Here is a 13,777-nt window from a genome sequence, read left to right on the forward strand (position 1 = left end):
TCCTTAAAAAGGACTCTAGAAGAAGAGTAAAACTGGCATTGATCTAAATTAAAAGAAACCTCGACAATTCTCATTCTCTAATTCAGTTTGAGTATTGTCCTTTTTATTTGATAGGGCTGTGTGAAAACCTAGCTAGGGTTTAAAGGTAAGAGGCTGTCGAGGTTAAGCGAAGGAGATGGGGGCGTGAGGGGCGTGCAAAGGCCTGGCATACTTTCCATTCCATCCACAGGATGCTTCCTGTGTAGGCGTGGCTAAAAGAGGGAGCCTAATCTGGAGTCCCTTTCAGATTGTGTGTGGATAGACTGACAGATGGGTTCCTGTCAGAGGATGGATTAATTGGTTGATCAGAAACACCAGATAAAACAAACCATTGAAAGCTTTCAAACTGTTGAAAGGCAGTTTAAAAAAGTTCTTTTAATAAAAAAACTGAGACGCTTGTTTTTACCCTCAGCTTATAAAACCATGTTCTGTTCTACTGGGATTCCCCGGGAAAGTTTATAGATATTTAATCAGTATTTTTCATTATTTTAAATGGATTAGGGCCATGATTCCATGTCCTCCCCTCCCAATAAATGCCTTCCCCACCGTACGGGTACACTCCTTTTTGATTCAGACCTTCAAACATAGTAGGTGTATAATGTGAATTACAGAATGAATTGGATTAAGTGGAAACACCTGTATTAAGTGTTACTCCATCACAGGAAAACAGTTTGTAAATTGACTTAATTTCAATCCACTAAGATTGGCTAGCTGTTAAGACGTGATTAACGCTTGCTAATTTCATTTACTTTAGTGATACAGTGTTATCTTAAATTCATGTAGTAGAGATATTAAGGTAATCATCAAATTGGATTAAAAAGTTTACTCTTAGAAGGGAAATAGAGGCTTTACTACCTAGTTTTCTCCGCTTTCCAAAAGTAGAAACCTTATTCAAATAGTTCATCTCTAAGCGGACTATAATCTAAAAATAATTCTGTACTTGAACTTTTCTTTTCTCTCTCTCTTTTTTTTTTTTTTTTTTTGATAGTAAAGGACTGAGCACATAGCTAAAGCCTTAATTATTTGGGAGGTGAGGGGGAAGGGAGGTTTGACCGGAACAAGTAAAACCTGTATCCCACTGCTTTTCCGGTGAATGTGGGTAAATCCCCACCCACATGATATCCTAACTTGGCCTACTCTTACTCAGAATTTCTGATGACATCCAAGCGGGTGGGGGAGGAGTAAGGATGGTTTTCGTTGTAGTTTTCAAATATCTGACCTGTAGCTTCTTACTAGTAATTGACTTTTTTTAAAAATTATAATAGGAAAATTTTTCTCATGCCCTATTTTAGTGGGTAACAAATCTTTCACGGATTAATATATTATTGTAGTGAGTTAATGGTTGTTTGTATTTTTCCCCTTTTGAGCTTTTCAACTGTGGAAGGAGGAAATGATCAAGTACAAAGTAATATGGTAATCTAGCAGTGTCTTTTCATTGATGTCTCACAGGCATAGTACACATTACGCCTGCCTGAATCAGATGGTCAAGTTATGATGCTGGTTAGGATAATTTATTTTGAGGAGGCTGATGAAAGGTGCTTTTTGGGAAGGTTGCCATTTTATACATATTTTCTGTATCTTTATCTGGTTTAAATAATTAAATAATCATTGAATACCAGTTAAGTATAACATGCGGTAGAGGATTTAAAAATTAAACTGTAAAGTCTCTAGAGGAATTTTCTGTTTCAGTGTGGCAAGTGAACCAGTATAGTCAAAGCAAAGCAATTAGAAAATTAGTAAATGCTAATTTGGACGGTGTTGGTGATAAGCTCAAAAATTCAAAGAAAGGAGAAGTCTGAAGAGGTTTAATGGAGGTGATAGAACTTGAACAGCTCTTGAGGGTTGAGTAGATTCTAGATAAGTTGGAGGTGGTATAGATGGAGACAGCCCAACTAAAAATGATCTTCATGATGATTCCAGGTGGACACATTAGTTTTATGAAGGAGGAACTGAGACCCCCATTTATTTAAAAGCAACCTGCCTAACATAACCAGGAGAGGCAGGGTCGGAATCAGCTCTTTAAATGTCCTTCCAGTCCTTATATACACTGAGTAGCTATGGATTAGATTTAATAACTGAGAAGAAATCTGTCATATAAGACAGTTCAGTGCAGGAAAAAGGCTAAAAGGAATTTGATGCAGGGCCTGCTCCATCTCTCATGTCTAGTATACAGTGCTGGCAAAGGATATGTGACTATCAAGGCCTTCTCTGGCATTCAAATGCTGGGCCACCCCTCATTCCAGGTTGCTGCATATTTAATGACTGTTTCTCACATCTTTGGTACAGAGGTCACCAATTCAGATGCCTTCAGGGACCACTGGATATCCAAATGAGTGAAAGAGGGCAGATACAATGTCATAGGGACTGAAGATGCTGGACGGTAGTGAGCTGGGAGGTTTAAAGGGCTCAGTGATTTCTTGGTTCAGCTGATTGTTGCCAGGTGAACATAAGGTGGCCCAATGTTGCCAGATCTTCTGTTTTTTTTTAAAGCTGAGAAACAAAGATTTTTATGTAAATCTCCTAATATTTATTCTGTAACACTTAAGTTAAAAATTTTAATAAGCATTTTCTGGACACTAAAAAAGTTTTAGGCCAAAGTTAGCCCACAGGTTTCTAGTTTTCCAAATCTGCTGTAGTGACTGCCAATGCAGAAGGGCATTCTGTCTTATACCTGTATTAGCAGTTTTGCAGGTTATTTCTTAAACTCATCTATACAAAAAGTTAATTCTTATTAATGTCTTAATACAAGGCAATGGCTTCTGTTACAAAAAGAGAACATAGAACCTTATAGAGTTATAGCACAGAAGCTCTCTCAATGTAGAATTTCCAGAGAGAAAATCTTTCCCTTTTAAATTCTCTTCCCCAGTGCTGCTTGCTCCCTTGTGCAATGGTTGTGTTTGACCCAATCATTACACTGCTCTCCCTTCAAGACTTTGCCCAGCCATGTACTAAAATCTAAAATGTACTAAATTTCCTTGCCTTGGGCACAATTGAAGTGGAAGCTTGATAGTTTTAAAAGTACTTCAGCAGATATTCATAGAGAATAAAAGTAAGATACCTATAGTTAGGGCATAGATTTTGTTATGTAAATACAGGTTTTAAGTTGAATAATTTTTATTGTATTGTGTGAATATTTACTCTAAGTACAAGAAATGTTACATTGCATTATTATTATTATCATCATCATCATTATTGCTAAATTTGGCTCTGAGTTCCCCATCTGAGTAGTAGGACAGTTAATTTACAAGTCATACAAAGGCTCCAGAATATATGGGGAGGGCTCTCTAATCTAGGTCCATCTCTGCTGGTATAATCCTTTAGAGGCTCAAGAGTTTCTTTTTAGGAAGGGTTTGGGATGGAGCGCAACCTAGATAGAAGGAAATAGAGGACCTGAATTGAAAGTGTGTTTGTAGAGCAAACATACTGTGTTTACTTATGTTGTGTATTTTTATGGGGGTAGGGTTAAGTGGCACTGATGGGGATTATGAGAAGGGAGGCTAAAACCCTCCCTAGCCTTGTAATATGATGATGGACCATGTCCATATGATTTTCTGAAAGGAATCGCTTATCTGAGAACTTTGCTGAAACTGGCAGCCCTGGGGTTCTAGCCTCAGCAAAGTCAAGCCTCCCTCCCCAGGTGTATACTTATTGAGGTACTGAAAGGACACTGGACTTGGGCTGTGCACTTCCTGGGGCTGGCAGCCTCTGCTTCTTCCCAGGATTAGGAGGTGTTATCCCATCTGGGGACATCTACCTGTACACTTTCTTAGTCTCCAAAGTTCCTTTCTCTTTCTAGAAGAGTCTGGTTATTTAAAAAAAAAAATTGTGATTTGGAAGTAAGGAAAGTCCCTCCTCCCTTCCAGTTCAAAGCCCTTCTTCACTCTTAATGGGGCTGAGTAGAAGGCTAGGTGGCCAGGGCTATCTCTCCTTTCACATGTATTGAATACACATGCACGTTAGCTTCCTAAGATGGAGATACTCAGTCTTCATTAATACCTTTTTAGCTTTTTTCCCCTCTCTCTATTCCTTGCCTTTCTCCACATTAAGAGCAGTCTCTAGAAAGTTGTATGTCCTTTGGAGGCAAAAGGACTCAGATTTGATTCCTCTAAACACCAAGAAAATTCTCCCCTTCTTCCCTGATTGAAGAAAATGTCCTGTCCACAGAACTGAACTATGTCCAGCATAGTGACCAAAGTGGCCATTCTCCCAGATGATAATTGTTTTATGGCTATTCAGTGTAGTGCAGAGTGCCCTGAAAGATATCATATAGGCTCTGAAAAGGAGAAGAGTGGTAAAGAGTGACCTAACAACTCTTACCATTTCCATGCTGTTTTGTACTAAAAAGGAGCAAATGTATTTCTGAATAAACTGAGGAGTTAGGAAGACATGGGGTGGGGAGGGAATGTTTGTTTAGCCTTTCACTTTTAAACATGCTAATAGTGGACCAAATGCCATCAGCCTCAAGAATGATTTTGATAATTAATAATAGCTTATTCTTGTCAGGTGCAGTTGTGTGATACTGTAGTCCCAGCTACTCAGGAGGCTGAGGCAGAAGGATTCTTTGAGTCCAGCAGTTTGAGGCTGCAGTCCACTATGATCCTTCCTATGAATAGACACTGCATTCCAGCCCAGACAATGTAGTGAGACCCTATCTTTAAATAAATAAATAAATAAATAAATAAATAAATAAGTAAATTGATGTGGTTTGGCTGTGTCCACACCCAAATCTCATCCTGAATTGTAGTTCCCATAATCCCCAAATGTTGTGGGAGGGACCCAATGGGAGGTAATTGAATCATGGGGACAGTTACCGCCATGCTACTGTTCTTCTAACAGTGAGTGAGTTCTCACAAGATCTGATGGTTTTATAAGGAGTTTTCCCTCTTTGCTTGGCACTGCTCGTTGCTGTCGCCATGTGAAGAAGGACGTGTTTGCTTCCCCTTCCACCATGATTGTTAGTTTCCTGAGGCTTCCCCAGCCACACTGAACTGTGAGTCAATTAAACCTCTTACCTTTATAAATTACCCAGTCTTGTTTATGTCTTCATTAGAAGCATGAGAACAGACTAATACATAAATAAAAAAGCTTATTCTTGATGGGGTTTTGAAGTTTAAAAGCAATTTAGTTACACTATCTCTGAATTTTCTGTGTAACTCTGAGGTAGCCATTGTTTTATACTATAGTTACCTTTTAGGTAACTGAGGCGCAGAAAGGGTATGTATCACTCACTTGATAAGTGACAGAGCCAGGCTAGAACCTGAGATTTCCTTTTCCAAATCTCGCATATCTACCTTTGAACATGGCTATAAGGTCTGAGGAATTATAATGAATGTGTCAGGTTATCACAGTGAAATTAATAAAGAGAAAATGGTTGGTTCTACTTCCATGGGCAGGTTGGGGGCTGGTTTTTTTGTTGGTCTTGAAAGCAAGACTTAAGTCATTTGAATAACTCTTTCCACACAAACACCCAATATCCTTCTAAATAGCAACAAGGCAAATAAAATGATCCATTCAGCTTTGGTTTATTATAGCTAGCATATTGACTTTAATGAGATTTATGAAAGTTAATTCTATTTTTATGTGTGGTATATATAATTTGTGATATATTAGAACCCTTGGTATAACAAATATGCACAGCGCATAGGTGCCCATTTGAAAAAGCTCAGATTATGATTTTAAATTATTGGAAAGATTTACAGTTGATATATCTTTGTTTTTATTGCATGTTGTTCATATCTGTCGCTTATTTAATAAGGAATCTTTGGTCAAATACACATCCCCTATAATATCACTCTTCCCGCGGGACTGTATCTCTCACTTTATGACATGGTTTCCACAACATGTCATGACAAAAAGCAGAGAAGAAATATATCAACACATACGGACACAGAAGACTTCTTTGTTTTGACTTAGAATTGTAGCCCTAGCTGATTTCATTGTATTCTCATTCAGCTGTTTATTCAAGTATCATATTTATCATCTTTGATCTTTGCATCTGTTATGGCCTCCAATATTGGGAACGTTTGCTTTTGCCTTGGGTTTTGGAAAATTAAAAACCAATATGACCCTTATAGGTTAGAATATTTACAGAATTAGAAACAAGCAGTATAGTCTAATAGAGGATGTAAGAGGTGAAGATAAGACCTACTAGGTGAGAAGCACTATGCAGGGACTAATTCAGTGATGGAGGAGTTATGGATTGTGAGAACATATTCAGCTCAGGGTGTTGGGAAAAGCTCCATGGAAGAGTTAGCACTGGAATGTCAAAGTTTTCTATCTGCGATAATGGGAGTATTAAAATATTCTAAGTTTAAGGATCTTATGAGCTATCATACGGTGTTTTGGGGGAAAGACAGTAATCTGTTTTCACAGGAATATGTGGTGCTCGAAGGTGATTGTGACAGATGGAGCCAATAAAGATGGATTGGGGACAGATTGTGAGGAGAGCTTTTAGTATTGGGTTAAGGAATATGGACTTCGATCTGTGAGCAATGGGGAACTGTTGGAGGCTTCCGAACAGGAAGTAGCATGATCTAATCTATATGTTAGGACTGTTCAGGTGACAAAAGTATAAGTAATGGATTGGAATGGATTCACTGTTGTAGGCAGTTATTGGGAAGCCTGAAGGCACTTTGATTTGGGAAAGTAAAGGGAACAAAAGAGATTACTATGGGGAAAGTAAGCGGGGAGACCAATGATCAGAGGAGGCTCTGTATCATTTGGGAATTTGAAATAAGGTACTACAAGTGGAGGGGGAGTGATTATGACAAAAAAGAGCAGAGTTAGGAGGCAAAAAGTAATGAGGCCTTGTACTAGGGTATTAATGATGGGAATGGAGAAAAGGAGAAGAATATCATGGCTCTGTGAAGGTAGAGTTGGCTGATTTGGCAGCTTTATTTGAGTATGAGAGGTGAATGAGCATGAGGAATTAAAAGTAACTACTAGCTTCAAGTTTGGTTTACTAGAAGATAATATTATATGAAAAGAAACAAGGGAATCAGGAGAAAGACCTTGTTTAGGTTAGCGGTATCAGTGGATTAAATGTCTGGCAGGCATTTGAAAATGTGAGTCTTAGGCCTCAGAGTCAACCTATTGAGTAATAGTAGAGATTGTGAAATTGAGCAAGTTTTCTGAGGGAGGTTATGAAGAAAGAGGATGAGAAAAAGAATTGGGGAATATTCCTAAATTTCATGCCCACTCTAATGGCAACACACTTCCTTCTTATTTAGAATTATGACTATGGTGGGCCACTCTTACTAACACAGGTATCTTATGCTTGAGGGATGTTTGCATGTATCCCTGTGTATATTTCCAAGATTTTCCTAGTGATAACATCACTCTAAGTCACTTGCTTCACGCATGTTTTTTGAGTGAAGGAAAAAGCTTTGGAATTAATAACCACTCCTTAGGCGTTGCACTTATTCGGTGCACACCCATCGTGATGTGTTGACCTTGCTTACCTTACTCATTGGGAATGGCAGAAAAGGCCATTCACTGTTGTAGGCAGTTATTGGGAAGCCTGAAGGCACTTTGATCTGGAAAGTAAAGAGAACAAAAGAGATTACTAGGGAGAAAGTAAGCAGAGAGATGAATGATCAGAGGAGGCTCTGTGTCATTTGGGAATTGGAAATAGGGTACTGCCAGTGTAAATAATGAACAATGTGAAGCTTAAATGATAATTTGCAACAAGCATTTAATGAAAGATCATTGCTTTTGGTAGTAGCCACATATTGAATAAAGTTTGCTGAGTGTGCACTGAATATTATCTGTCCTAAATGACTCAACATTTCAGTTTGATCCTAGGGAATGTTATGCATCTGGAAAAGGAAAGGAATACATTTATCTCTGAGAGCCGATATTATTGCATAGTACTAACAGAGATAAGGCCACTTTCAAATTGTCATAGCAAATGAACTTTAATGATGACTAATGAATAGAAATGTGTTTAATAACCTGTGATCTGATTTTAGAAGCTGGGCTATTAACTGAGAATAAGGAGAACTGCTCTCTGTTTCTGATTCTGTCCCTCTAATCTTTGCCTTGAATAAATCACTCATGTATAAAATGATTCTGGATAATTTAAAAGCATCAAGTATTTGAATTGTGACTTTTCTCTCCAATATTTCTCAACTAAACCAGCACAAAAAATATAAGAAGTATAAGGTATAATTTGATTTACCTGCAAAAAGAGTATTAGCCTCTAATGGGGATTATCCACATTTCTCAAAAACAACAGTTCATAATGTTGATGATCTATTATGACTGTGACCCCTGATGAGTATACTGAGACTGGAGTCAACAGATTGTATTAAACTTCAATAGCATAGAAAGCCAAGCATCATGATTTAGCTTTGTCAAGTGTTGAAAAATTTTGTTTTTACATAGAGGAAGAAGTCTTTCCTAAATAGATTCTGACTTGGTATATTGACTAAGTATATTTGCCTCATTTTTAGGTTCCTGAATCTCTTTTTTAAAGTTTGTATCTTGTGTTTTTAAAATTACCCTATATTTTACATACTCATTGTAAGCATATAGGCTTGCACAGATTAATTAAATGTAATTTTTGAATATTTGCCAAAACAGAAGCATGGCATTGGAAATGTACTTTAAAAATAGAAAATTTGAAGGCACTTTTGAGTTTGCAATGACAATTATCCCAGAAAATTTACTATAAAATATTTAAGTGTTAGCTCAGGTAACCTTTTTAAAATGTATTTTTAATTTACATACAGTAAAATTTACTCTTTTTGGTATATATTTTATATCAAAAATTCGACAAACAGAACAATTCTATTACCTCCTCGAAGGAACTCCTTGAAAATACATTGTCCCTTTGTAGTCAGATCTTCCTGCCACCCACCCTTAACCCCTAACAACTACTGATCTATTTTCCATCACTATGGTTTGGCCTTTTCTAGGATGTCATACACATGGAATCATACATTATGTAGGCTTTTGAGTCTGGCTTCTTTCACTTAGCATAATGCATTTGAGATTCATCCGTGTTGTTGCAGGTACCCGTAGTTTGTTCCTTTTTATTGCTCAATACTATTCCATTTATGGGTCCTTCACGGTTTAGCTGCCAGCTGAAGGATATTTACATTATACCCAATTTTGGGTGATTGTAAATAAAGCTGTTACAAACATTCACAAATGGTTTTTATGTAAATATGTCTTCTTTGTTTATTTCTTTTATTTCTTTTTTTTTTTTTTTTGAAACAGGGTCCCCCTGCTGTTACCCAGGCTGGAGTGGAGTGGCTCAGTCATAGCTCACTGCAGCCTGAAAGTCCTGGCTTCAAGCCATTCTCACATCTCAGCCTCCCTAATGGCTGGGACTACAGGGCATGCCACCAAACACAGCTAATTATTTTCTTTTTATTTTGTAGATATAAGGTCTCACTGTGTTGCCCAGGCTGGTCTCAAACAGCCTCCCAAAGTGTTGGGTTTACAGGTGTGAGCCACTATGTTCAGCCAAGTCTTATTTCCCTTGGGTGAATACTTAAGAGTGGGATTATTATGTATAGTAAGTGTATATTTAACATTATAATAAGCTGCCCAACTATTGCTCATAGTGACTGTACCATTTTGCATTTGAGAATTCAAGTTTTTCTGTGTACTTGTCAGCACTTGGCATTGTCAGGTTTTTTTTTTAAGTCATTCTAGAGCATACATAGTAGTATCTCATTGTGGTTTTGGTTTCCATTTCCCTAATGACTAGTAATATAGACCATATATCCATGTGTTTGTTTGCCATTAGTATATATTTTTTGTTGAAGTGTCTTTTCAGATCTTTTGTCCTTTTAAAAAAAAGAGTTGCTTTCATATTAAGGTTTGATGATTTTTATATAATCTAGATACATGATTCAAAAACATTTTCCCCCAGTCCCTGCCTTGTTTTTTCTTTCTCTTAAAGTATCTTTTGCAGAGCAAAAAAAGTTTTTGATTTTGATGAAGTCCAGTTTATCAATTTTTTTTCCTTGTTCTGATAGTGCTTTTGGTGTTATATCTAAGAACTCTTTGCCTAGCTCAAGGTCACAAATATTTTCCTATACATTTTCTTCTAAGTGTTTTACAGTTTTACATTTACATTTAAGTTTATGGCCCATTTCAAGTTGATTTTTTATTAGCACAAGTACATTTCTTTACGAACCGAAGGGATGATCCTAATTAAACCAGCACTTTAAATTAATTGCACATAAGATACTTATGGAGGTTTGCTTGTTGAACTGAGCTTGTTCATTCTCTCAGCTAATTACTTTCCAAAGTGATGAAAGAATTTTTATTCTACTTTTTTGTAGACCTGAGTACAGGTGACATTGTTCAGGATGCGGTCCACCATTAATTTTCCATTTTTTAACTTTCTTGTTATTGTGCTTTCCTTTCCTTTCCATTCCTGATGTTGAACCAATGTGCCATGTATGAAGTTGTGGACAGTCTGTGTTTTTCTGCTATTAGCTGTAGTTTCTTCAAACTTCTCCACCAGGGTACAAGAGAACTGTGTTGGTTTCAGAGTGCTCTCAGTGTTTATGATGGTTTTTGCTGTTACAAGAGATGTTACAATCTGGTTGGGCCATTGCATGCATTTTTCACAGAACTATTCCCACTCCTAGTTCCATCGTGTATTCATCAAAGCATTTGCTGTCCACTCGATGCTATTGTCCTTCCAGCTGCTGAATGGTGGCCAGCATGGGTGTATGAGCAGAGTAGGGTCTGGCTCAGGGGTGGGGGTAGGATATTGAGCCAGGTTTTTTGTATAAGGTGTGAGATACGTGTCTGGGGTGATTTTTTGGCATTTGGGTTAGTACTATTTGTTAAAAAGACAATCGTTTTTTTCCATTGAACTGTATTTGCACCTAAGTAAAAAAATCAGTTGACTACAGTATTTGTATGGATGTATTTCTGCACTCTATGCTACATTGATCTACGTGTCTCTGCTTTCATCAGTACCCACTGTCATGATTATTGTAGCTTTATAGTATAATTAACTTTAGAACATCTCTGCAAGAAAGAAACAAATTCTCTCAAGCATCCTAATCAGTTTCCTTTTCAGTCTTCTTATCCAAGCAAATGGATTATTTCTCAACAATTTTATCTTCAATGTTCATTCAGTTTATATAGTGACTCAGAAGGGTTGTAGCTATACTTCTTGTAGCCTTTCCCTGTGTAGAAAAAAGACCCGTGTACACTACAGCATTTAAGTTGAGTTTCTCTGCATCAAAGTCAAAATGCAAAAATTTGCACGCACACACACACACACACACACACACACCCCCACTCACCCACACAAACCAAAAACCATCTACTGACCCTATCATCTGCAGACATTCCCTCAAGGGGCTTTCCAGGGAGCTACCAACTCTTACAGGCCCCATCACTCTGACCAAGCTGCCTGGACAGTGGTGACACCTTACCACCCATTGATAACCAGCTTCCTGTCTGGTGGAGTGTCAGTTGGTGGGAACCAGCTGTTATGATTCATCCCACTTAAGATTTCTGCCTTTTGACAAGTGACGCTAATAGACCTAGGCTGAATGGTGTCTGATTGGGAGAATTTTCTTTTTGAAAGCAGTTTGATTTCTAGTGCCTCAGCAACTGAACTTTTTACTTTAACAGGTACGCTCCAATTTCCAGTTTCTGTGGAAATTCAATAGAGAGATAAATGTTGTTTTCATCAAGTGTTTGTACCAGCTATTATTTCTTCCTGAAAAACAAACAAGCAAGGTAACTTCTCTTAAAAAAGATACTTGTGTTATGAATTCTTTAATAGTTTTCGAAGCTTTCTGGCTTCTGATATTCTGCAAAAGGCAAAACATTTCCAGCCTAAGATATGACTTGTTACATTTGGATTTGGTGAAAGAATTATTAAGTGCTTGAGGGGATAGCTTCACATATCTTGAGGGGATGGCCTTTCTCTTGTGCTACTGAAGCCAGTTTCATCCTTTGCTTTGTTTTTGTCATTTCCTTACTCTGATAAGCTTATGAATATTATTTTAAAAAGTTTGTTAAGGGTCAATCCCTTATGGTTTACAACCATAAGGACAAGCTGTTGTAAATATAATGAAAGAACAATATAAGAAATATACATTTTAAAATATTGATAAGGGAAAGTTGTACTGGTTTTTATGAGTTATGCAAAATTAACATTGTCCTTACTTTTTTAAAAACAATTTTCAGCAGTTGCACATGGAATAACAATTGTCCTTACTTTAGAGATGAGGAGAGAGCAGAGCATGCCATGAAGGAGGAGGACTGTGATTACATTAGGGACCTACCAATCATGGTACCAGTGGCATGCATGGGCAGAAGGGGAGCCTATTACCAGCAGCCTTCACAGGATGGGCCAGATTTCTTCAGCATCACTGCATATAAAGTCACACCCCTAAGTATGAGAAAGTCAAATTGTGATGGAAATTTTTCTAATGCTAAGAAGTGCTGGTTTCCTATAGCCAATTAGGTAGTGCTAGCAGTGCAACATTTTATAACATTTGGTAGTAACAAGTGATTTTATCTTTGGGTTGGCGATACCCTAGGGCAGACATTCTCAAGCTTTAGTGTACATAAGAATTACCTGAGGAGCTTGTTAAACTTTAGGTCCCTGGGCCCCAGCCCTCAGAGGTTTTGATTTATTAGGTCTGGGGAGTGGACAAGAATCTGCATTTTAAAAACAAACCCACTCTGTTTGGCACCCTGACTCGTTTCTCAAAAGGTTGCAAAATTCTCCTAACAAAAACTATTACACTTCAACTGAATTTTTAAATTACCGTTCAACTGAATTTTTAAAATACTCTTTCACATAGTACAAGTAAGTGTTGTGAAATTCAATGATGGTTGAGCTTCGGGGTTCCAGAGAGGTTGGCAATAACTAGTTTAGATTCCCTAGGTGTGAACTAAGATATAACATGCAGTGAGCAGTATAAATAGACTTAAGTTAAATTTCTTTCAATTAGAAGTTATTAGTTACACAATTTCCATTTCCAGGTCATCTATGCATCCACAGATGGTATTAGATAAGGGAGCTAGACCAGGCATGGTCTACCTAGGGAATTTCACAAGGTTCTTTTATAATCATTTATTGCCTACTGGGCCCTTAATGATGTTACTCAGGATCCCATTAAGTTAGCCATGAATATAGTAATTGGTCCCCTGACGATAGCCAGGGGGAGTCAAATCTTGTGGCTCCACCCTATTCTGGTCATGTTGGAGGCAAGATAGAAATTGTTGCTTGTAATCTTCAAGGGCACTTTTCCTTTCTGGGGATAAGGTGCACTGTGCTCCCAAGCACATTTCTCAAAACACAGCCTGAGTCCCTAGAGAGTCCTCCCCCTCTAATTCAGGCTGGCACTTATGACTTACTTTTAAAAGTAATTTGAAAATCCCATCAAATACAAACAATCAAAATCTAGATTCTCCACCAGATATTCTGTAGATCTAGTATTCCGTTGTTTCCATCTGCCCACATCAACCACTTAAAAATATTTTTGGACAAGGTTTTTCCTGCCTTTGTTGATACTTAGGTAAGATGGAGCATTTCTAGAGACTGGACCCAAAGCAACTACACACATGAATATGATATAAACTAGTTCTGTGTTAGCAACGGGGAGTCAGATTTTGCTGATTTGGTGTTCATATTCAGACAAAGTTCTGCAGTTTGCGGAATTATAATACCAAACCAGAGGTTATTCCTGATTCATTTGAATGAATCCCTGTGCTTGTGGTTCATGTATATAGCTGGCTTTTG

General features: G+C 37.6%; 1 protein-coding gene, 1 long non-coding RNA gene and 1 pseudogene across 9 annotated transcripts in view; 2 read left to right on the forward strand and 1 right to left on the reverse strand.

Moving 5' to 3' along the window:
* CAST (calpastatin) overlaps positions 1 to 13,777 on the forward strand; it is an 813,255-nt gene that overhangs the window by 1,294 nt on the left and 798,184 nt on the right. The window contains exon 2 of one of the 8 annotated variants that reach the window (NM_001423250.1): positions 11,653 to 11,760. The exons of the other annotated variants lie outside the window; for them this stretch is intronic. The gene's annotated coding sequence lies outside the window, so the exon portion shown is untranslated. The remainder of the gene's footprint in view (positions 1 to 11,652; positions 11,761 to 13,777) is intronic. 8 annotated transcript variants of the gene reach the window in all.
* Positions 1 to 13,777, forward strand: part of LOC101929710 (uncharacterized) — a 669,085-nt gene that overhangs the window by 722 nt on the left and 654,586 nt on the right. The window lies entirely within an intron of this gene.
* On the reverse strand, positions 10,245 to 10,732 carry FABP5P5 (fatty acid binding protein 5 pseudogene 5; annotated as a pseudogene).

The sequence above is a fragment of the Homo sapiens genome, chromosome 5 (assembly GCF_000001405.40).
Source record: "Homo sapiens chromosome 5, GRCh38.p14 Primary Assembly".
In the NCBI taxonomy this organism is placed as follows: Eukaryota; Metazoa; Chordata; class Mammalia; order Primates; family Hominidae; genus Homo; species Homo sapiens.